The 24,025-nt window shown below is 41.2% G+C and overlaps 1 protein-coding gene across 7 annotated transcripts in view, besides 1 other annotated feature; it reads right to left on the bottom strand.

Moving 5' to 3' along the window:
* Positions 1–24,025, bottom strand: part of MYRIP (myosin VIIA and Rab interacting protein) — a 451,408-nt gene that overhangs the window by 120,317 nt on the left and 307,066 nt on the right. The gene's annotated exons all lie outside the window — the stretch shown is intronic.
* Positions 5,233–6,432: an enhancer, noted in NCBI's record as "BRD4-independent group 4 enhancer chr3:40175064-40176263 (GRCh37/hg19 assembly coordinates)". NCBI's record gives its function as "activates an origin of replication core promoter dependent on BRD2, P300/CBP, MED14 and CDK7 cofactors, and independent of BRD4, by STARR-seq in HCT116 cells {active_cell/tissue: HCT116}" and the evidence as "EXISTENCE:reporter gene assay evidence [ECO:0000049][PMID:35650434]".

Genomic DNA, 24,025 nt, shown 5'->3' with positions numbered 1-24,025 from the left:
AGCAATTTTATTCATAACAGCCAAAACACTGGAAACTAATTAAATGTTCATCAGCAGGTGAATGGATAAACAAATTAAATTGTATGCACAAATGGACTATTATTCAACAATAAAAAGGAACTGCTGGCAGGGTGTGGTGGCTCACATCTGTAATCCCAGCACTTTGGGAGGCTGAGATGGGTGGATCACTTGAATCCAGGAGTTCAAGACCAGCTTGGGCAACATGACAAAACCTCATCTCTACTAAAAATACAAAAATTAACTGGGTGTGGTAGCATGTGCCTGTAGTCCCAGCTACTTGGGAGGCTGAAGCAGGAGGATTGCTTGAGACCAGGAGTTTGAAGTGGCAGTGAGCTATGATTGTGCCACTGCACAACAGCCTGGGCAACAGAAGGCGACCCTGTCTCAAAAAGGAAAAAAATGAACTGCTGATATAAATGACATGAATGAACCTCAAAAACATTATGCTAAATAAAAGAATATTTAAATAAAAATTGCAATTTTATTATTCCACTTAAATGAAATTTTAAAAGAAGGAAAATTAATCTACATTGACAAAAAGCAGATCATTGTTTACATGGAGCCAGCAGCGGGACTGACAGAAAAGGGGCACAACATAACTTCTCAAGAAGTTGGAAATGTTCTGTATCTTGACTGTAGTAGTGGTTATATGATTGTATATATTTGTCAAAACCCGTTGAACTGTACACTTAAAATGGATGCAACATACTCTTTGTAAATTATACCTTAATAAGGTTTAGCCCCCAAAAAGGATAATTTAAAAATAGATGTAATACAAAAAAATATGGTATATATACACCATGAAATACCAGTCAGCCATAAAAAAGAATGAAATTCTGTCATTCATGGCAACATGTATAGAACTGGAGGACATTACATTAAGTGAAATAAGCTAGGAAGAGAAAGTTAAACACAGCATGTTCTCACTCATATGTGGAAGCTAAATAAATTGATCTCATAGAAGTAAAAAGTAGAGCAGAGGATACTAGAGGCTGGGAAGGGTAGGGGGAAGAAGGTGATAGGGAGAGACTTATTAAAAGATACAAAATTACAGCTAGATAGAAGGAATAAGTTCTAGTGTTCTATACCACAGTAGGATGACTATAGTTAACAATAATATACAACATAGTGTCAAATAGCTAGAAGGAGAGTATTGAATGTTTCTGACACAAAGAAGTAGCTATACTTGACATGGCAGCTATGTTTGAGATGGTAGCTATGCTAATTACCCAGATCTGATCACTGCATGTGATATGTATCAAAATATCACTATGTACTCCATAAATATGTAAAATTATTATCTGCCAATAAAAAACCTTAATGTCAGAAAAAAGGCATGGAACTTTATAACTTCTATTAACTAAGGGGAAACATTAAGTATCTTAAGATTTCTCAGAGAAAGAGAAAGCTGGTATAAAATAGTTTTTAAAAACTAGATTATTAAAAACTTTAAACATTTCTTGATTTTTATCTTTTGGTATGGTATAATTCCTCTAAACACTGAAAAATTTAATACGATCTTTTGGAAATAACAGCAAACCTTCAAAATTTACCAATGACAACATAGTTAGAACTGATTACTTAAAGTCCTTAGAGCTACAGTTTTCTCATCCACAAAATGGGATAGGTTGTGCCTTACAGGGCTAGAGGAAGAATTAGACAGCTCAACCGAGAGCTCCAAGAGAAAGACCAGACCCTTGGTACTCACTGGGGGTGCCAGCAGAGTGTGAATGTAAGTGAACACACCTTTCCTGCATGACCTCTGTGCATCTGTCCTGTACCAAATGCTGCAAATGAGTGATTCTTAGGAGGGGATATGTGCCGCAATGCGGGCAACAGCATCATTTCTTGGCAGAAGTGTTGTTTTCCAAACACATATGTTCTTGGAGATTCTATGGTGACCTGTCTTTCCACTTTGCTCCATTTCCCTAGGGAGAATGACTGTAATGAAGTGTTTTACTGATGGGACAAAAAGCAAGGCTGAGGATAACAGACTGCTGCTCAGATGATGTAAATAAATTTATGACATAGATGTATGACCAGATCTGTCCTGCAAGAGCTCATAAGGTTGTCAGGATAAGAGAGTGCCAGAGGCTGGGGTGTGGCCATCTTCCCATTGAAACTTCCCCTGAAGGAAGAAATGTAAGCAACCTTGGTTCATTGATTTAGTCATTGTTCACTCACTTGCTTATTCATCTCATATATACTGAGCACCCAGCATGTGCCAGATGCTGATGTAAACACTGAGTGTACAGGAGTGGACAAAATGGGCAAGACTCCCAGTCTCATGGTGTTCACGGTGGATAAGCTTTTTGACGTGCTGCTGGATTTGGTTTGCCAGTATTTTATTGAGGATTTTTGCATCGATGTTCATCAAGGATATTGGTCTAAAATTCTGTTTTTTGCTTGTGTCTGTGCCAGGCTTTGGTATCAGGATGATGCTGGCCTCATAAAATGAGTTAGGGAGGATTCCCTCTTTTTCTATTGACTGGAATAGTTTCAGAAGGAATGGTACCAGTTCCTCCTTGTACCTCTGGTAGAATTTGGCTGTGAATCCATCTGGTCCTGGACTCTTTTTGGTTGGTAAGCTATTGATGATTGCCACAATTTCAGCTCCTGTTATTGGTCTATTCAGAGATTCAACTTCTTCCTGGTTTAGTCTTGGGAGACTGTATGTGTCGAGGAATTTATCCATTTCTTCTAGATTTTCTAGTTTATTCACGTAGAGGTGTTAATAGTATTCTCTGATGGTAGTTTGTATTTCTGTGGGATCAGTGTTGATATCCCCTTTGTCATTTTCTATTGCGTCTATTTGATTCTTCTCTCTTTTCTTCTTTATTAGTCTTGCTAGCAGTCTATCAATTTTGTTGATCTTTTCAAAAAACCAGCTACTGGATTCATTGATTTTTTGAAGGGTTTTTTGTGTCTCTATTTCCTTCAGTTCTGCTCTGATCTTAGTTATTTCTTGCCTTCTGCTAGCTTTTGAATGTGTTTGCTCTTGCTTCTCTAGTTCTTTTAATTGTGATGTTAGGGTGTCCATTTTAGATCTTTCCTGCTTTCTCTTGTGGGCATTTAGTGCTATAAATTTCCCTCTACACACTGCTTTGAATGTGTCCCAGAGATTCTGGTATGTTGTGTCTTTGTTCTTGTTGGTTTCAAAGAACATATTTATTTCTGCCTTCATTTCGTTATGTACCCAGTAGTCATTCAGGGCAGGTTGTTCAGTTCCCATGTAGTTGATCAGTTTTGCGTGAGTTTCTTAATCCTGAGTTCTAGTTTGATTGCACTGTGGTCTGAGAGACAGTTTGTTATAATTTCTGTTCTTTTACATTTGCTGAGGAGTGTTTTACTTCCAACTATGTGGTCAATTTTGGAATAGGTGTGGTGTGGTGCTGAAAACAATGTATATTCTGTTGATTTGGGGTGGAGAGTTCTGTAGATGTCTATTAGGTCCACTTGGTGCAGAGCTGAGTTCAAGTCGTGGATATCCTTGTTAACTTTCTGTCTCACTGATGTGTCTAATGTTGACAGCGGGGTGTTAAAGTCTCCCATTATTATTGTGTGGGAGTCTAAGTCTCTTTGTAGGTTTCTAAGGCCTTGCTTTATGAATCTGGGTGCTCCTGTATTGGGTGCATATATATTTAGGATAGTTAGTTCTTCTTGTTGAATTGATCCCTTTACCATTATGTAATGGCCTTCTTTGTCTCTTTTGATCTTTGTCGGTTTAAAGTCTGTTTTATCAGAGACTAGGATTGCAACCCCTGCCTTTTTTTGTTTTCCATTTGCTTGGTAGATCTTCCTCCAGCCCTTTATTTTGAGCCTATGTTTGTCTCCGCACATGAGATGGGTTTCTTGAATACAGCACACTGATGGGTCTTGACTCTTTATCCAATTTGCCAGTCTGTGTCTTTTAGTTGGAGCATTTAGCCCATTTACATTTAAGGTTAGTATTGTTATGTGTGAATTTGATCCTGTCATTATGATGTTAGCTTGTTATTTTGCTCGTTAGTTCATGCAGTTTCTTCCTAGCCTTGATGTTCTTTACAATTTGGCATGTTTTTGCAGTGGTTGGTATCGGTTGTTCCTTTCCATGTTTAGTGCTTCCTTCAGGAGCTCTTTTGGGGCAGGCCTGGTGGTGACAAAATCTCTCAGCATTTGCTTGTCTGTAAAGTATTTTATTTCTCCTTCACTTATGAAGCTTAGTTTGGCTGGATATGAAATTCTGGGTTGAAAATTCTTTTCTTTAAGAATGTTGAATATTGGTCTCCACTGTCTTCTGGCTTGCAGAGTTTCTGCGGAGAGATCAGCTGTTAGTCTGATGGGCTTCCCTTTGTGGGTAACCCGACCTTTCTCTCTGGCTGCCCTTAACATTTTTTCCTTCATTTCAAGTTTGGTGAATCTGACAATTTTGTGTCTTGGAGTTGCTCTTCTCGAGGAGTATCTTTATGGCGTTCTCTGTATTTCCTGAATTTGAATGTTGGCCTGCCTTGCTAGATTGGGGAAGTTCTCCTGGATAATATCCTGCAGAGTGTTTTCCAACTTGGTTCCATTCTTCCCGTCACTTTCAGATACACCAATCAGATGTAGATTTGGTCTTTTCACATAGTCCCATATTTCTTGGAGGCTTTTTTCGTTTCTTTTTATTCTTTTTTCTCTAAACTTCTCTTCATGCTTCATTTCATTCATTTTGTCTTCCATCACTGATACCCTTTCTTCCAGTTGATCACATCGGTTACTGAGGCTTGTGCATTTGTCATGTAGTTCTCGTGCCATAGTTTTCAGCTCCATCAGGTCCTTTAAGGACTTCTCTGCATTGGTTATTCTAGTTATCTATTCATCTAATTTTTTTTCAAAGTTTTTAACTTCTTTGCCATTGGTTCAAACTTCCTCCTGTAGCTCAGAGTAGTTTGATCTTCTGAAGCCTTCCTTTCTCAACTCGTCAAAGTCATTCTCCATCCAGCTTTGTTCCGTTGCTGGTGAGGAGCTGCGTTCCTTTGGAGGAGGAGAGGTGCTCTGATTTTTAGAGTTTCTGGTTTTTCTGCTCTGTTTTTTCCCCATCTTTGTGGTTTTATCTACATTTCGTTTTTGATGATGGTGACGTACAGATGGGTTTTTGGTGTGGATGTCCTTTCTGTTTGTTAGTTTTCCTTCTAACAGTCAGGACCCTCAGCTGCAGGTCTGTTGGAGTTCACCGGAGGTCCACTCCAGATCCTGTTTGCCTGGGTATCAGCAGCGGTGGCTGCAGAACAGCAGATATTGGTGAACTGCAAATGCTGCTGCCTGATCATTCCTCTGGAAGTTTTGTCTCAGAGGAGTACCCGGCTGTGTGAGGCATCAGTCCGCCCCTACTGGGGTGTGCCTCCCAGTTAGGCTACTCGGGGGTCAGGGACCCACTTGAGGAGGCAGTCTGCCTGTTCTCAGATCTCAAGCTGCATGCTGGGAGAACCACTACTCTCTTCTAAGCTATCAGACAGGGACATTTAAGACTGCAGAGGTTATTGCTGTCTTTTGTTTGTCTGTGCCCTGCCCCCAGAGGTGGAGCCTACAGAGGCAGGCAGGCCTCTTTGAGCTGTGGTGAGCTCCACCCAGTTCCAGCTTCCCGGCTGCTTTGTTTACCTACTCAAGCCTGAGCAATTGTGGGCGCCCCTCCCGCAGCCTCGCTGCCGCCTTGCAGTTTGATCTCAGACTGCTGTGCTAGCAATGAGCGAGGCTCCGTGGGTGTAGGACCCTCCGAGCCAGGTGCGGGATATAATCTCCTGGTGTGCCATTTGTTAAGCCCGTTGGAAGAGCGCATATTAGGGTGGGAGTAACGGGATTTTCCAGGTGCTGTCTGTCATCCCTTTTTTTGACTCGGAAAGGGAATTCCCTGATTTCTTGCGCTTCCCGGGTGTGGCAATGCCTCGCCCTGCTTCGGCTCACGCAGGGTGCACTGCACCACCAACTGTCCTGCACCCACTGTCCGGCACTCCCCAGTGAGATGAACCCAGTACCTCAGTTGGAAATGGAGAAATCACCCGTCTTTTGCATCGCTCATGCTGGGAGCTGTAGACTGGAACTGTTCCTACTCGGCCATCTTGGCTCCACCCCCTTGTCTTCTTAAAATCTATGCTTGTGGGCCCATGAGAGTTGTCGAATCTATATGACTTATAGATGGGTGTCTTTATAGCATGCCAGAAACTTCTGAGAATGTCAGAAACATTCCACAGTACGACCAAACAAAATTCAAAACATACATTTTTTCCCCCTGTTTTTGGAGACAGAGTCTGTTGCCCAGGCTGGAATACAGTGGTGTGATCTCAGCTCACTGCAATCTCCACCTCTTGGGTTCAAGCGATTCTCCTGCCTCAGCCTCCTGAGTACTAGGGATTACAGGCATCAGCCACTGTGCCCAGCCTCTAAACATACATACTTTCTACTTATTTCCCCCATTCTTCTTTATAAAGCCTCATCCAACTTTCTCACTTCTTCTCTAAGCATAAATCTTTATCACAACACCTCACAGCACTATTTTAATTAATTATTTAGGGATCTGCCTGTGCTGCTAAGTTAAGCATCCATCAAGAGAAGGGCCCATGATTGGTCCCATGCATTCTGCAGACACAACTTTTTGTTTGTCTTATTACATCAGGCCTCCCAAGATGATCTCTGCAAATGGAACATGATTACAGCATATTGGTTTTTCTGTATACCTAAGATGTGAGCACCTCTTAAGCGCTTATCTTTCTTGGCTTCACAGGAGGGTTCTTAATCAGTGAGTGGATGAATTCTTATTTTCACAACTGACTCAATAGACATGAATTTTCTTAGCACTCCTTCCTGCCCTGCACTGTTGTTGTTTATGTAGACTTTGTGTTCTTCCTTCAGTTCCATCACTCTAGGCACCACACAGTGTGGCCTTCTGTGTTCTCCTCAGCACTGAATACCACACAGGTATGAATGTCCACAGAGATCTCTGACCACATGTCAGTCTATCACAGTTTTGTTAGTTCCCACCATGAGCCAGTGCTCCATCAGCTGACATGAACACCTCCATGGCAGTACACTAGCTTCAACAAAGGCAATATGCTGGAAGACTCTGAGTAAGGAGGGCTGGACTGGGATGGGGGATGAGTCCAAGCCCCAGCTGGACTGCCAGCACATGCTGTGTGCCTTTGGTGGGATCAGCCACTGGATGCCATGCCCATCTTCTTGTATCAGCCTCATGCCCTGAGGAGTTAGGCAGAGATTCTGCACCAACCCTAGAGGAAAGCTGGTAAAGGGGCAACCCTCTGGGTGGCTAATGTCCAAGCTGAAAAGGAAAGGCTAGGTAGTACTCTCATGCCCCCAGGGTGGGGCTTCCCAAAGAGTCTCATCTTGTATCAGATTCACTGAGAGGTCAAAACCCTAGGGGAACCCAGGGCCTGTACCTGGTCTAGCTCAGGGCCCTGGCCCAGAAAAATATACAAATTTGGCCTTACACTTTTGCTCTCAGAGCTCTTGGGCTTCTGGAGAATTGCCTAGCCACTGAACAGTCCAGCTCTTGAGGAATGAAAATGTGACATCATTTTTAGGAGCTCAGGTGGGCAGGTGGCAAAAGCAGAGTGTCTTTTGTTTCACAGCTACAGGCTTATCTGCTGGGTTTGCAGTTAAGGGGAAGAAAGAACATTTATTTGAGAACTTCTTAGGAGGCAACTGGTGGGTGACATGCTTCAGAGTAAACCTCTCTTCTGTAACTAAGTTCTAATTTTAAAAAAAGTGAGGCTCCTTTTCTGCAGCTGTAGAGACAACAGCATATTTTCTAAACCCTCTAAGTCTTTTTTTTAATCCCTCTCAGCCTTACCTTATTACTTGGTGTCTCAATGTCTTCCCTAATTCCCAGCTCTGGGAAGGCATTCAGAAGAAAACTGATTCTATAAGCATTAAAAAAATTGATTTCTTAAAAAATGATATAAGCACATTTTAGATTCATTTTACTATCATTTATTGACAGCCTCCCCAACCCAAGCTACTTCAAAAGAAGTCTTTTCTACATGGAGAGAACCCTTGTTTATATGTCTAGATATTCAGAAGGGGCCCTTCTCACAAGGTAGAAGAAGATGAAGAGAAGCTCTCATTGAAAAAAAAATTAGAGATATTTTTCTAGTTAAAAGTTTTGGAAAAGAGGAGATATGAGGGAGGGGGAAATTTGTCCTATCAGATGTCAAGATACATTACAAATATATAATAATTAAAACAGTATGGCATGTTTAAAAACACAGCTATAAATAGAAAAAACCCTGAAAGATAATGTAGCAAAATGTAACTGCTGATATCTCTAAATAGTGGTATTATGGGTAACTTTATTTTTTCAAATTGCAAAAACATACGCTATTTTATAAATGGAGAAGATACTACAACTTTGATGAAATTTTCCAAGTAAGAGGAAGGAAGATCATATCCCCTAAAGTGTATTATGAAGGCCTGTAGCCACAGAGAGAATACGATGGGAGCTCTACCCTCCTCACTTACTTGTGTTTGATATTAAGTCATGTACTCTCTTTGAACCTGCTTCCCACTTAAAAATAATATTTATAAAATCTACCTCACAGGCTGTGAAATTAAAAACAATGTCACAAAGCACCTATTACAATATTGGCATATAGCAGGAATGCATCCGTGAGTGAGGGTGACAGGCTAGAAGAAATACAGTAAAAAATAACAAATATGGAGATAAATATAGATAAGAGTTGGTACAGAATGTAAAAATAAGAATTAAAACACTACCAAGCTTTGCTTATATGGAGTTTAGATTCATGGGAGTTCACTATACCCTAGTATAGAAATCACTAACAGAAAAGCTGTATTCCCATTTGTTTTGGAGCATGGGGGCAGGTAGAAGTATTGCAATTTTTCACAATGGCAATTCTTCAAAATTCTCATAAATAACTTCTAGGTTTGTATGGACCATCCATCTTTATGGAGTTTAGTTCAATACAGGCATATTTTTTCAGCATTTTGCAGTGCCAAGTCTAGTTCAAAATACTGGGGTTATGAAGGTGACTAAGACCAAGTGCTACCCCAGTGAGCTCACAGTGTAACAGGAAATGATGTTTCTGGGCTTGGATGAGTGGGTTGTGATGGTCATATAACTAGCCAGGATAGGAATATAGGAAGAGGATCAGGTTTGGAGGGAAGGCAGAAAGTTTAGGTAGGACAATTAAATTTGGAGTACCCATCATATCCCCAGGTGGTAAGACCTGGTGGGCATTTGGATATACCAGTCTGGAGATACACACACACACACACATATATATATATTCTTAGGAGGGTAGAAATTTGGACTAGAGGCCGGGCGCGGTGGCTCACGCTTGTAATCCCAGCACTTTGGGAGGCCGAGGCGGGCGGATCACGAGGTCAGGAGATTGAGACCATCCTGGCTAACACGGTGAAACCCCGTCTCTACTAAAAATACAAAAAAAAATTAGCCGGGCGTGATGGTGGGCGCCTGTAGTCCCAGCTACTCGGGAGGCTGAGGCAGGAGAATGGCGTGAACCCGGGAGGCGGAGCTTGCAGTGAGCCGAGATTGCGCCACTGCACTCCCGCCTGGGCCACAGAGCGAGACTCCGTCTCAAAAAAAAAAAAAAAAGAAATTTGGACTAGAAATATAGATTTATGACCTCCTTGGTCCACATGTAGTATTAAGCCAATAATGGGTATATTGCAGGTATAAATGATCATTATCATTATTTTACTGAGGAAAATGAAAACAAGTAATTTGCTGATATGTCACTGACTGAACTAGAAGCAAATCTGGGAACAGACTGTAGACATCATTCTTGGGTCAGTGCCTTGACATCTGATCAGGTTATTTTTATTCCAGAAATCCTAGTAGTGTTCTTATGGCAAATTAGGGCTTTGGCTTCAGAGTTCAAGCAAATAGAAAGCTGCGTGAATCAAAGAATCAGAATAAAATTTAAAATCATTGTGTTGTTTCCCTAAAAAAACCTACTTAACATCATACTGCGAATACTAATCACTTCAAGGGACTTGTTGTATAAGCAGTTTTCTAATTTCTTTTTCTATGACACAAGTAAATTTGTAAACATGTGTATTCTCATTAGAAGACAGATCGGAATCACATAGAACAGCACTGAAATTACAATCACATTAAAGTTTCACCTAGGAATGCCAGGTTGATTTTGGCTCATTCGACTAAAACAATACAGTTGTGAGAAGGAGGGAACTGAAACACTGCTTAGGCCCTGGCTGCCAGTGAGGAAGCAAGGCATTCCCAGGCCTTCCTCCCCAACACAGTAGGGCACTGTGCAAACTAAGAGTTTACATGGGAGAGACTCTGTGATATGCTGAAGATCTTGCTATTCCCAGTGTGGTTCTCAGACTAGCAGCGTGGGCATGGCCTAGAAGCTAGATAGAAAAGTGTAATCTCAGACCTCCACACTCACATTGTGACCTGCTGAATCAGAATCTGCATTTTAGCAAGATTCCCATGTGTAGCAAAATTAGCTGGGTGTTTTCGGAGGTGGCATGATTTTTTTTTTTTTTTTTTTTTTTTTTTTTTTTTTTTGAGACAGAGTCTCACTCTGTCGCCCAGGCTGGAGTGTAGTGGTTTTATCTCGGCTCACTGCAACCTCCACTTCCCAGGTTGAAGCGATTCTCCTGCCTCAGCCTCCTGAGTAGCTGGGATTACAGGCGCCCCCCACTATGCCTGGCTAATTTTTTTTGTATTTTTAGTGGAGACGGGGGTTTCACCATGTTGGCCAGGCTAGTCTTGAACTCCTGAGCTCAAGTGATCTGCCTGCCTCAGCCTCCCAAAGTGCTGGGATTACAGGAGTGAGCCACTGTGCCCAGTCATGATTTTTTTTTTCTTTTAAATTTTGACCACAATCCACTTAGTAGGACAAGAGACAGAGTAGTTAACTTGTTTCCCCCCTTGTCATTTTTGTTTTAAGGAAAAAGAACTGAACTGGGTGATAAAAAGTTTTGAAGAGGAATTGAATAATTAAAATTCTACTTCAAAATTCAGATACAATAGTTATAAGAAAATACAATGCTAATAATACTATTGATACAAATTCAAATCATTACACATACAAGGTGCACCAAGCAATCTGCAACAAGCTAAATTGAGAATGATGAAGCTAAACTAACATTCCTTTGTTGGTAAAAGAATTAAGCACAGCAGCAATTAAAATCCATGACCAATTTAAAACGACCTTGATGATTTATGAAAAATGAAGTATACCTCCTGAAAACTGTAAGAATGTGATTTGTGAGCTTTGCTTTGGTTTGTGTATGCAGGGTAAATGTACCCAATGGCAATAATTGAAGCATTCTCTTAGAATGTCCCTGTATGGCAGATGCACCTGAATGTGTGTTCCAAGCTGGGGAATCCAGGTGTCGCCAACCTGGAGATTCATTCTTTGTCTTTTACAAATATCTCAACCCCTGGCCTGTCCCACGGAACACATGCAATACAGGGGATTGAGGCCCTGAGTTTTGGGTTAAATGAAGGCTGCAAGGTGGAGGTCATTAAGGGAAGGGTGTTGTGAAAATGCTATATAAACTACATGCTGTTTGGAAGTGGTTGTGGTTTTCCTGCCCAGCCTGTAGCTACTGAGCCGTGCAACTATGTTGTCCAGATCACCACCACTGGACTGTAGGAAGGCAGATATGCTGCCTAGTCTGCCACCACTGGACTGTAGGAAGGTAGATATGTTGTCTAGCCTGCTGCCACTGGACTGTTTCTGTACATAAGTCAGTTCTCCTATCCAGCTTGCTGCCACTGGACTCTCTCCCCTGTATGTAAGCCCCTATTAAAACTCCATGTCTTGTTTGCTGGCTCTGGGTCTTTTCTTTGGCCTCTTGAACCGGGTGCCTTCCCTACTGAGGTTAATAGGGGTTTGACACAACAGTATAGAATACAGAATTAGAAGATTCAGCAACCACTGATAACACACTCAACAGCAGTAAAAGAGAAAGCATTCTAGGTTTTTCAGAGGGACTCTAATATAGACAATTGGTTATATAGATGATGAAACAGCTAAGGCTCCTGGGAGAAAATGGTGAGGCATCTCAGAGGCTATGAACAGAGAGGTTCTTCCTACCTCAAGGCCAGAGGGATGAGGGAGCAGGCAGTGTTACCAGGAGTAGCATCCTGGAGCTGGGAGCTGGGGCCACAGAAAAGGTGTAGCTGCTTCTAGAGATGCTGCCTCAGGCAGAGAGACAGGAAATACGCTGTACCGTGTCTGTAGTCTTCCTTCTGCTCTCCTACCTCCCTGCATAGGCTGACATTGGCCAAGTTGAGAAGGGAGTCTGGGTAGCACAGCCTGTGGGGCTCAGTGCCCCCCACCCCCAACCGGGAATGCAGAGCAGGGGAAAGACAAGGGTGGGAAAATCCTGGCACCTAATACCGATGTTAACTTCTGAGCACCAGATCCCAGTAACCCTAATAACTAATTTCATAGATTACAGCAAGTGGCCTTCATTTCATGTAGGAATCTAACTCTGTAGAATTGTGACCCACTTGACTACAAAGAAGGGAAGAAAGGAACTACATCTGGGACCAGTTTGCAGCCTATGAAAAGCATCCTGGTGCCTCCAGAACTTGGGCTGGTTGTCAGACTGCACTTTACCATTTACCACCGAAGTGACCAAAAGCAAGTCGCTAACCTCTCTGGGTGCCCTGTTCCTTACCTGCAAAAATGGAGATGGTAATATTTATCTGGCAGAGTTATATGAGGCATCATTGATCTAACATGCTTAAGCGTCTACTATAGAACCTGAATATAGTTAAGCACTAAGAAAATGGTAGCTATTTAATCTTAGAAAAAAGAAAATCTTCATTAGATTTAAGTCATATTATAAGAAAGGTGTTTTCTTCTAAAGAAGTAAAACAAAAGGGTTGTTATTCTATATGGACCACCATATAGGGGCAGTAGGAGGACCTTGGTTTACCCATTAGGGCCAATAATTGACATCTATTTGGGACTCATGTTTGTTACATGTTTTTGTAGGGCAAAGCTGTGCAGGTAGTTTCCCTCAATGACAGTGTGCACTGTCTCCTGCCTGCTGAGGTCTGCAGAGAACTTTCCAACTGGGTCTGTCACCTGCCGATGGCAGCTCACCCAACCGACTGCTCAGCATTGAGGATAGGCCCCAGGGATGCCCTTGCTACTAGCATCACTTGCTCCTACTCTGCCTAGTGAGACTCAACTCTTAGGAATTATTATTTCTAAATAGTTCCTTGGATACAGGGACCGTCAAATAAACTTAAGGTACAATGATACAGTTTGCAAAAAACAAAACAAAAATCCCAAGAACAAAAGAATATTTTTTTCTCCTTCAAATTTGGTTGTAGGTTATGTATTTAACCTTTCAGAAATTTTATTTCCTCAGATACAAATGACGAGAATAAATATTTCATCAGATTTTTATAAAGATTAAATGACATAAACACATGGGAATTAGCACAGTGCCTCACCAAGGTAACTTTTCAATACATGCTATTTTTTTGTTATCATCAACATCATTGTTTAATCCTAAGCCCTCATTCATTCCTTTTTGAAAGGATGTAGGTATAATCAGTAAATTAACAGTAAAAACAGACTTGGCTGGAAATGTGTTTGATTCTTACATTTCATCTTAACCAAAACGCTAAGGTGTTTCTTAACCTTTAGCAGTTCTTAAACGTGAATATGCGTCAGGATCTCCTGGAAGGCTTGTTAAAACCAGCTTGTTCGGCCCCACCCCAGAGTTTCTGATTCAGGAGGTCTGGATGGGGTCTGGGAATGGGCATTTCAGATAACTTCTCAGGTGATGTGATGCTGCGAGTCCAAGGATTGCACTTTAAGAAACATGGAGTTTGAGATAGGTTGGGCAGGTCGTTAAGAGCCCATGAGAAGGTAGTACTGATTCAATGCTGTGAGGAAAACAACAGAATCCCATCCAGGTGTTTGGAATATAAGAATCCTTCAGCCCTGACAGCATGAAGGCCCTTGAGCACAGAGTCAGAGCAATCAGTTCTGAAAAGTCAAGAGAGGCTGAGAATCTGGATGGAAGAGAACAGCCCTCACGCTGGGACCCCTGAGTATGTCACTGGGAATTTGCAGACAGACATGGCTCAGAGGCTGGAAGTGTCATGTTCAGTTGATACATGACAACTGCCATTAATGTGAAGCATCTTGCTAAGGGTGAGATGCCGGAGCTGACAAATAGCGAGAAGGAAGAAAAGCCTGGAAGAGAAGTGAGAAGACGTGTGTGTGATTTACCCGCAGCTGCTCCTAGGCCCTCTATGCGCAATTTCTCCGATCCCTACAGCAATTAGAGGGAGACAGAGAAGGAAAATGAGGCTGAAGGAGGCATAAGATGACCAAGGTCACATAGCTAGCGTGATGGTTAATACTGAGTGTCAACTGGACTGGATTGAAGGATACAAAGTATTGATCCTGGGTATGTCTGTGAGGGTGTTGCCAAAGGAGATTAAGATCTGAGTCAGTGGGCTGGGAAAGGGAGACCCACCCTTAATCTGGTGGGCACAATCTAATCAGAGGCCAGTGAATATAAAGCAGGCAGAAAAATGTGAAAAGGAAAGACTGGCCTAGCCTCCCAGCCTACATCTTTCTCCCGTGCTGGATGCTTCCCACCCTTGAACATCAGACTCCAAGTTCTTCAGTTTTGAAACTTGGACTGGCTCTTCTTGCTCCTCAAGCTTACAGACAGCCTATTGTGGGACCTTGTGATCATGTAAGTTAATACTTAATAAACTCCTTTATATATCTATCCTATTAGTTCTGTCCCTCTAGAGAACTCTATTACAGAGCTAGTAAGTGGCAGGGCTGGGATTTGAGCTCCATCTGGCTGCAAAGCCCCATGCCTCCACTGGATCACATGTACCATGGGTATGAGTGTCAGGCCTGGTTCTAATCCTTATACAATCAACCTATTCAATCCTTGCAACAACCCTGTGGGGCAAGCACTTTATTAATCCTCACTTCACAGAGGAGGAATCTGAAGTTCCATAACCTGCCTGAGGATATGTGACCAGTAAGAGGCAGAGTCCATCACCACTGCACTGCCTCTTCTATATGAGGGAGGCAATTGAAAAAAGAAAGGAACTGAGCCAGGCAAAGGTGGAACTTGCCCAAAGTCATGGAGGAGACTGCAAGGCCAGCCACTTAAGAATGCCTGCTGGCACAGCAGCCATGCCAGGTGGGGGTTTATGTGCAGATCCTAGCTGCCCTTCCCCAGCTGTGTTCTGCTGGTCTCAGGGCACTCACCCTCTCTGGATCCAATCCATTTCCTTCATACCCACAACTCTGCCAGAATATCCCTGCCAGGCATACACCAAATCCTAAATACCCACCTTGAAAAGCCAGCCTTTCTCTCCAGGAGAAGCCTCCCTAAGAAGCCTCAAATAGAGAACCAAAAACAAATGCTGGGAGAAAGGTGTGGGTTGGCACAGGTGCATGGGGAGGCAGGTTCCAGTCACTGCTGAACTGGCTGTCCCCTCCCTCCATGTAACCACCAGCACCAGCCCTGACCACAATGGTGACCAGTCCTGATCTTTCTCCTAATGAGCTGACCAAATGTGAAATTTTCTTCCTCAGACAGAGCCATTCATGGCTGTAAAGATGAAAAGATCCTAACATCACAGAAAGCATTCAAAAGGGGCCTTTGGAGTAGTGGAGGATCCCGGCCCAAGTGAGTCTGTGGTTTGGTTGTGTCTGTGTTTGGGACTCAGAGCTCTGAGCTTCTGGATGCTTTGAAGTACAGCTTTGATGGAAGCGTCTTTCCATTGGGATGGGGCAGATAGAAGATGGCCACAAATTCTTTGCTACACTTCCCTCTGAGAGGTGAAGTCTAAGTTCCCTGTCCTCTTGAAACTGTGCTGGTCTTGGTGAGTTGTTCATTCACTAGAATATGGCAGAAGTGAGGTTCTGCGATTTCTGAGGCTAAGTCATAAGAAGTTTGCATTTCCATTCCAGGATGCCTGGAGCACTCTGTCTGGAAGCCCTGGGCACAAGGCAGTTCTCCAGGGAGGTGGCCTTGCACCAACCCAGTTCTCCCCCTTTCTTGATTGTAGTTCTCAGGAATAGCTGTCAAATGTGCTGGGAATGTGGCATTCTGAAATAGGGAGGAACTGGCCAGAAGAGCCAGGGTTTTGTTCCATCCACCCGCTAGAAACAGGATGCCATTCAACACTTTAGCCTAGCAAATGAGGATTCCCCTTGGATGAGCTGCTTCTCAGGGTCCCTTAGCTACAGGTGGGGCACACACAGACAAGCAGACAAGACTATCTGCCCCAGGCAGCTTTGCTGAGCCTTGAGGGATCAGCTCACAATGGATCTTAGGCTTTGGTTGTCCCTTGCTGCCTATCTGTAAACAATAAACCAGCCTCTTGTAACTTATGTGTGTGGGTGCTCTGTCTCATCAGACTTGGTAACCATGCACAGTGAACCTGCTTCAGCCTGGGCTGCTGTGTAAGAAGGGGAGCTATCCTGAGACTTATGCTGGAGAGGCCACATGGGGAGGCCACAGGGAACGAGAAGGATGGCTGGCGGGCTCCAGTTGCTCCAGCCACAGTCTCTGAGTCCTCCCAGCTGAGGCCCCATTTTCAGTCAGAGAACTGCCCATGTTTGGAAATGTCTCTTGACCAAAGGACAATCTTAAATAACTTTTAACGAACTTCAGCTTACTGAAACTTCTTCCACAAAATGCCAGGGTGACTGATATTGTTAAAAAAAATCCTTAAGACCACTTCCAAATTTGGATAAGCCTGCACTAAGCAAAATGTATGAATCCATTTTAGAAGATCCAAACATGATGCTGATTTTTATTACAAATTATTGATATTGCATGCTGCTTAAAACTATATCAGATAACATTTCTATAGGATTTAAATCATTACAATAGTCAAAAGCCAAATCATTGGCTGCTTTTTGTAAATTAGATGTATTCATACAAAATAAACTTTCTCAAGTGAAAAATTCAAAAGCTCAAAAATTACCTATTGGGTACTATGCTTATTACCTGGGTGGTGAAATAATCTGTATACCAAACCCCTGGGATATGCAATTTACCTATAGAACAAATCTGCATATGTATCTCTGAACCTAAAATAAAAGTTAAAAAAAAATATATCTACTTTATTGTGGTTTTAAGGACTACACAAAATAATATATCTAGGGTACAAAGCATAGGGCCTGCCACATTTTTACCAACATGGCATTAATTTATTATATATTATAGGCTTATATCAAAATATATATACTCCATAAATATGTACAACTATTATGTGTCTATAAAATTTTTTTAAAAGATGAAGAAAAAATCAAAACGTCTTATAGACCAGTTTTAGTCCCCCAAATGAATGAGAAAAAGTTGTACTAAGTATATTTAAATGTGAATTTAATATGAACTCATACATATACAGATTAATGTGTTTAATTATGTATCTATAGAAAAAAATGTGTAGAAAAAAGTACGACAAAATAAGATGATTATCTTTATGATAATCTGGATTTTTTCTTTTGATTTACATGTATTTGTATATTTTCTACAAGAAGCATGAATAATTGGGTAAAAATAAATTTATAATATTTATTAAAAATAAAAATTCAAAATATATAAAGGCCTTTTTTTCTCATATTTTCATTTCACATGTAAAATTAGGACCTCTATAATCTCCTTAATTTCTATTTCATATGTACTTTCCCTATAATAATTGATACTCTCATGCAATAATTCATACATGTCCAATTTCTTTTTCATTTACTTTCAAATTCAGAAGGTATATTCATATCTCTTATTAAAAAGTTTTATGTGCATCACACTTTCTGAGTTAATGTTGCTCATTAGAATTCAAAACTCTCAACTGAAAATGAGATAAGCAAAGAGTAAATTTTGAAAATATTATTGATGAATTTGGTTCCATTTTAGGCCAGGAAAGTAACATTACAATAAATTCTGGTTTCACTATAAATAAAATATTTAAACAAAAATAATGTTGTGAGTTTAATATAGCTATTTTCCTGTTTTTAAATATTTTTCAGACATTTTAATATTCTAGAAAAATTAACCCTTAAAAATACATACAAACATATACTATTGGGGACATGTATTTCCTTTTGTCTCAGTCTCTAATATGGCTCAGCATGGCATTATCAGAAACCCCTTTTTTACTTGAAAGTTGTAAATTTAGTTCATTATGAATTTTTTGCATCAATCTTTATTTTAAAAAATACTGTGTTAAAATATTATTTGTCTCTACTACTGAGTTTTTTGGTACGCCAGGGGAGTGAGTGCCTTGCTTGCTTCATCCTAAGCCTGTCCCTGACAGGGCAGTGCTGGGTTTGCACCAGTGGGGCACCTGGTGGAAGGTAGCTTTGCCAATGCAAAGGGCTGTAGTGTCCAGTGGAGCAGAGGACCTCAGGAGGAGAGGGTGGCACCCAAAGAATGCAGTGGTGGTACCCAGGGGAATGGATGTGGTGAATGGATGCACAGTGCCCAGATTGTTCTTGGGATGGGGGAGCAGAAGAAGAAGAGTGAAAAAAAAAATCCACAGATGCCACAGATAGTTGTCAAAATGCTTGCCTTAAATGTTTGTCAAGATGCTTGCCAGAAAGGGGTGGGAAAAGAGCTTTGTAGGAGGCTGGGGTCTAGTATTAACAGGGTCCTGTATTAATAGGGATAAAAACCAATGAAACTTTATTACCCAAGATAGATCTATATGAGAATACGTTTCTGAACTGGTCTGGAGGTGGGTGTGTGAGGGTACCCTTGGTCCCTTCTAGGACTCTTCTAGGTGCTATTCATGTGGTGTGGGCACAGCAGCACATCCTCTTCCCTAGCGGGACCTGCCTCAGTGGGACCCGCCTAGCTGTCTCTATCTGGCTCTCAAGGGGCCTGCTCTAGACTTGAGGCCACTGGCACTGACCTTGCCCTGAACTTTTCCATCTCTCAGCTGGTCTCCATGGCTCTTAGCTCCACCCTCATGCTTGATTCATTCCTCTCTGTATGGTTCAGTGAGCTCGACTCATATTCAGCCAAGCAGTTGTCAGGACTGGGGGATGGGGGAATGAAATGGTTTCATTTAGTCTCAATTATTTGGAGGCAGGAATAAAGAACATTTGAATATAACCTTTCTTTAGCATTCTTATTTATAAAGCTGATTGAGCTTGCTTCTTTATTTGTCAGAATCAGCTTGAAGTGAGTAAGAGAATTTACTGTGTTTATTTGGATAGCTGCTGTTCTTGCTGTAGCTGCAAAAATTTGAGCTAAGCTGGCCCAGAAGGACAATCTTGTGTCTTCCCCCTGCTAATCTGTGTGATCTGGGAACTGAGATAGCAAAGAACAGCCAGGACGTATGGATTCTTTCCTCAACCATATCAGTCAGTGTGTAGTCTTGAAGACATCAAATTATCTTTCTGCATCTCACCTCCATCATCCTCAGAATATAAGTGATCCCAGCTTCCTCCAGCCAAATTTCCAGGGACACATAGGGTTGCATCGAATGCTGCCTCACCGATGTCCTGACACACTGATGTGAGCCTGTTTTGCTCTGATAACATCTTCATATTCATATCAAAATTATGTACAATTTCCTTTTTGTTTATTCATCTGTTTGACTAATGGTAATGTTAAGTTATATAATAAGTAAGGTGTTTTCCTTTTAAATTAAGCTCCTAGCTGGTTGTTGGAACAAGAAGATGATCTGATTACTGTGAATATTAGGCAATTCTGGACTTTAGTTATAACAGACACACAGTGTTTTAGTTTACTGTGAAAATTAAAGGTAGGGATTTTGCTATATTAGGCTAAAATATAATAAAACTTCACCATTTGTTCACAAGAAAATACTTTGGTTGAAGTTGTTGGGTTGCAGTGTAATTAATTAATAAGATCTGCCACTTGCTGAATGCCTATGACAAGCCTGCCATTGAGCTGGGTCCTTTTAGTCCTCAAAACCAAACTATGAGATAGGTATTATTTTGTGAAAACAAAGGCTACATCGCTGGCTAATGGTGAAGCCAATATCCTCTCTTTTTGTGTATTAGTTTATTTATTTATTTATTTATTTATTTTATTATTATTATACTTTAAGTTTTAGGGTACATGTGCACAATGTGCAGGTTTGTTACATATGTATACATGTGCCATGCTGGTGTGCTGCACCCATTAACTCGTCATTTAGCATTAGGTATATCTCCTAATGCTATCCCTCCCTGCTCCCCCCACCCCACAACAGTCCCCAGTGTGATGTTCCCCTTCCTGTGTCCAGGTGTTCTCATTGTTCAATTCCCACCTATGAATGAGAACATGTGGTGTTTGGTTTTTTGTCCTTGTGATAGTTTACTGAGAATGATGATTTCCAATTTCATCCATGTCCCTACAAAGGACATGAACTCATCAAAGATAAAAATAATTGAATAGATATGCCACGGGATTTAAAATTTAAGTCTCCTGCTCACCTGTGTTCACCACACCTCCAGTTCCCGTCTCCAGAGGCAAACAATATTATCAGTTACTTGTGCACTTATACACACATAAGAAAATACTAAAAAATATTCCCTTTGCCCTTTTTCTGCACAAATGTCAACATGCCATTACATACTTCTCTATTTGCTCTTTTCATAAGAACACATCCTGGAGATATTTCTTATCAGTAAATAAAAAGTTTCCTCATTCCGAAATGCAAATCAAAACCACAATGAGATACCATCTCACACCAGTTAGAATGGCAATCATTAAAAAGTCAGGAAACAACAGGTGCTGGAGAGGATGTGGAGAAATAGGAACACTTTTACACTGTTGGTGGGACTGTAATCTAGTTCAACCATTGTGGAAGTCAGTGTGGCGATTCCTCAGGGATCTAGAACTAGAAATACCATTTGACTCAGCCATCCCATTACTGGGTATATACCCAGAGGATTATAAATCATGCTGCTATAAAGACACATGCACACGTATGTTTATTGCGGCATTATTCATAATAGCAAAGACTTGGAACCAACCCAAATGTCCAACAATGATAGAGTGGATTAAGAAAATGTGGCACATATACACCATGGAATACTATGCAGCCATAAAAAAGGATGAGTTCATGTCCTTTGTAGGGACATGGATGAAGCTGGAAACCATCATTCTCAGCAAACTATCGCACGTTCTCACTCATAGGTGGGAACTGAAGAATGAGAACACATGGACACAGGAAGGGGAACATCACACCCCAGGGCCTGTTGTGGGGCGGGAGGAGGGGGGAGGGATAGCATTAGGAGATATACCTAATGTAAATGACAAGTTAATGGGTGCAGCACACCAACATGGCACATGTATGCATACGTAACAAACCTGCATGTTGTGCACATGTACCCTAAAACTTAAAGTATAATAATTAAAAAAAAAGAAAAGAAAAATAAATAAATAAATAAATAAATAAATAAATAAACCTTCAACCCAGGGAAAAAAAAAAGTTTCCTCATTCCTGTTTAGGGGCATGCAGGCATTTTCACTTTATGACCATTCCATAATTAATTTAACCTGTGCCCTATTGATTAGCATCTAGATTGTTTCCTAATCTGCTATTACGTCAGTGCTTCAGGGAATGATCTTTACACCTGTCCCTTTGCATACAGGCAAATATATCTGCAAAATAAATTCCTACAGATGAAATAGCAAGGTTGAAAGATACATGCAGCAGGAATTTCACAGATATTGCAAAATTTCCTTCCATTTGAGTTATCGCAATTTATAGTCTTGTGGCAACATATTAGCCTCTGCCAACATACAGTGTTATCAAGTTTTTTGACCTTTGCTAATCCAATTGGTGAACACTGGTATGCCATTATAGTTTTAATTTACATTTATCATATTATGAGAGAGGCTAAGCATTGTTTCATTTGTTTAAGAGCCATTTGTGTTGCATTTTCTGAAAATTCTGTTTACTTTTCTTGTCCCTTTATTTTTAGGTTTTGGGCTTTTTGTTTTGGATTTGTAGGAGTATTTCTATGTTAGAAAAATTAGTTTTTGCAATTTAAATTACAAATAATTACCCTAGTCTGCCATTTGCTTTTGACTTTGTTAATGGTGATTTTTGTGCTGTAGAGATGTTTTTATTTTTATGGAGCTTCTGGTTTGGGGCCATAGTAAGGCCTCTCATGATTTCTTCTTTGTATTTGGGTTTATTTTTTATGCTGAAGTCTTTGCTCTAAAGTAAATTAATTTCAATGTCAGGTAGAGGGTAAGAGTCTAAAGTTATTTATTTTTTCCAGATGGAGCTAAGATTGGAACTGAGGTCTGGCTATAAAGCTGCCTTTATGTCCATCGCATCCTAAGGGCTGCTGTTGCTCTTCTGCCTCTACACTGATGGACTACGTCAGAACATCAATATGCTGTATTGATGATAATGGATGATATTTTCTTAGTTGTGCCAATATTACTCTTGAGGGAAGAAATGATGCCAAGGTAAGTGAGGACACTGGACATGAGTAGTGAATAAAATATTTCAATTTGAAAATGTAACAGCTAAGAATGTAGAAATGGGAATAACCTGGAAAGAAGGGATCAATGATGGGCAGAAGGTTGCCTCAAGCTACAGAGGGCAAGAGCTTTTTAAAAGGGGGGAGGTTGTGACACAACGTAGTAAAATTAATTTACATAAACACAGTAGCTATCATATGGCTTTGATGAAATCACACTTTGTAAGGCTCTCAGTTCTGTTCCTGATTTTCAGCCTCCAGGGTCTTTGTGGCTACTCCTATCCTGCTTTTACATAACCGGTGTATGATATCTTCATTAATTATCAAATTTTTCTAAACTGGCCACCAAAGGGTGGTGCAGTGAGCTACAAAAATGTCAAAATAACAAACTTTTATTTTACAATATCAGGGCGGGGGGATTGAAAGGCAGATGTGGCCTCACCGGATGCTCCAGTCATATTGGCAGCAAACTGCAAACAAGCTATAGCCGGGGGTGCAGCCACTCATGTGAGACTGTGAGACGGAGACAGGAGGGAAAGAACACACAAGAGAACGATTCACAGAGGTTGGGCCTCCACTCATTCCAAACTTATGAAACTATGGAAGGGAAACTGCTTGAAAAATATCTTAGAATGACTCATGAGAAAAGAGGTTCATGGCAAAATCAATAATGTTATGAGATTGTAGAGAAATGCTTTAACTTCTCCACATAAACAAGTCATTTTAACGGTTTTTGGGATACACCCCAAACCGTTTTTGTGTATTAATTTGTGGCTAAGAACCTGCAGCATCCACAAGGGATGTTCTATTCAGTTTTCTAGCCCTGTGCATATCCTTAACAGCCTGTCAAAAACAAAGGACGCCGTGTTCTAAACTTCCAGGTTCAAAATGTGCCTCCCAGCCTGAGACAAAGATGCAAAGAGACAGGCCCATGCCTATCAAAATTGGGCCAGACTAAACTGTGCTGAGGTGAAGACTGCTGAATTCAGAGAAAATAAAGTGTTGAAAGCAATGAGCCCTTTCCTTACTCTACTCTCAGGGACAAGGGAAAATGAAAGAGAGATAAACAAATACATAAATAGGATGGCAGGGAGTTACTTACAGTAGGGGGATGTTTTCCATCTAGAAGTTTCTGAAGATGGCAGTATCAGAGATGTGTCTTATGCTGCTAGGTGTGTGTGTGTTGGGGGGCAATGTAAGTTGTTCCTTGGGAAACTTGAGACCACGTCTTACTTTCCTAAGGTCTACACAACTCATGGAGGAGGTGTGAATGCATCTGCTAGGCTAAAGCTGGCTAAAGGTAAAGTGCTAGGGGATACCAGCATCAGGGGCAAAACACATCACAGGGATGTGAGTGTGCCCCCATCCAGGGATCAAGCAAAAGATGACAGCTGGAGACCCAGGAGGATAGTCAGCCCCAGGGAACCTGTGAGCCAGGGAGCACTGCAGCTGGCTTCTATAATGACATTTGGGAATTCAGACTCTTCACCACTCCATGCCAATTTCTATACCTGTTCTACTCAACCTTGCTCGTGCTGTGCAGTTGTCAT

The sequence above is a fragment of the Homo sapiens genome, chromosome 3 (assembly GCF_000001405.40).
Source record: "Homo sapiens chromosome 3, GRCh38.p14 Primary Assembly".
NCBI lineage: Eukaryota > Metazoa > Chordata > Mammalia > Primates > Hominidae > Homo > Homo sapiens.
Note: the sequence above shows the minus strand (reverse complement) of the source record. Positions and strands in the feature narration are given on the sequence as shown.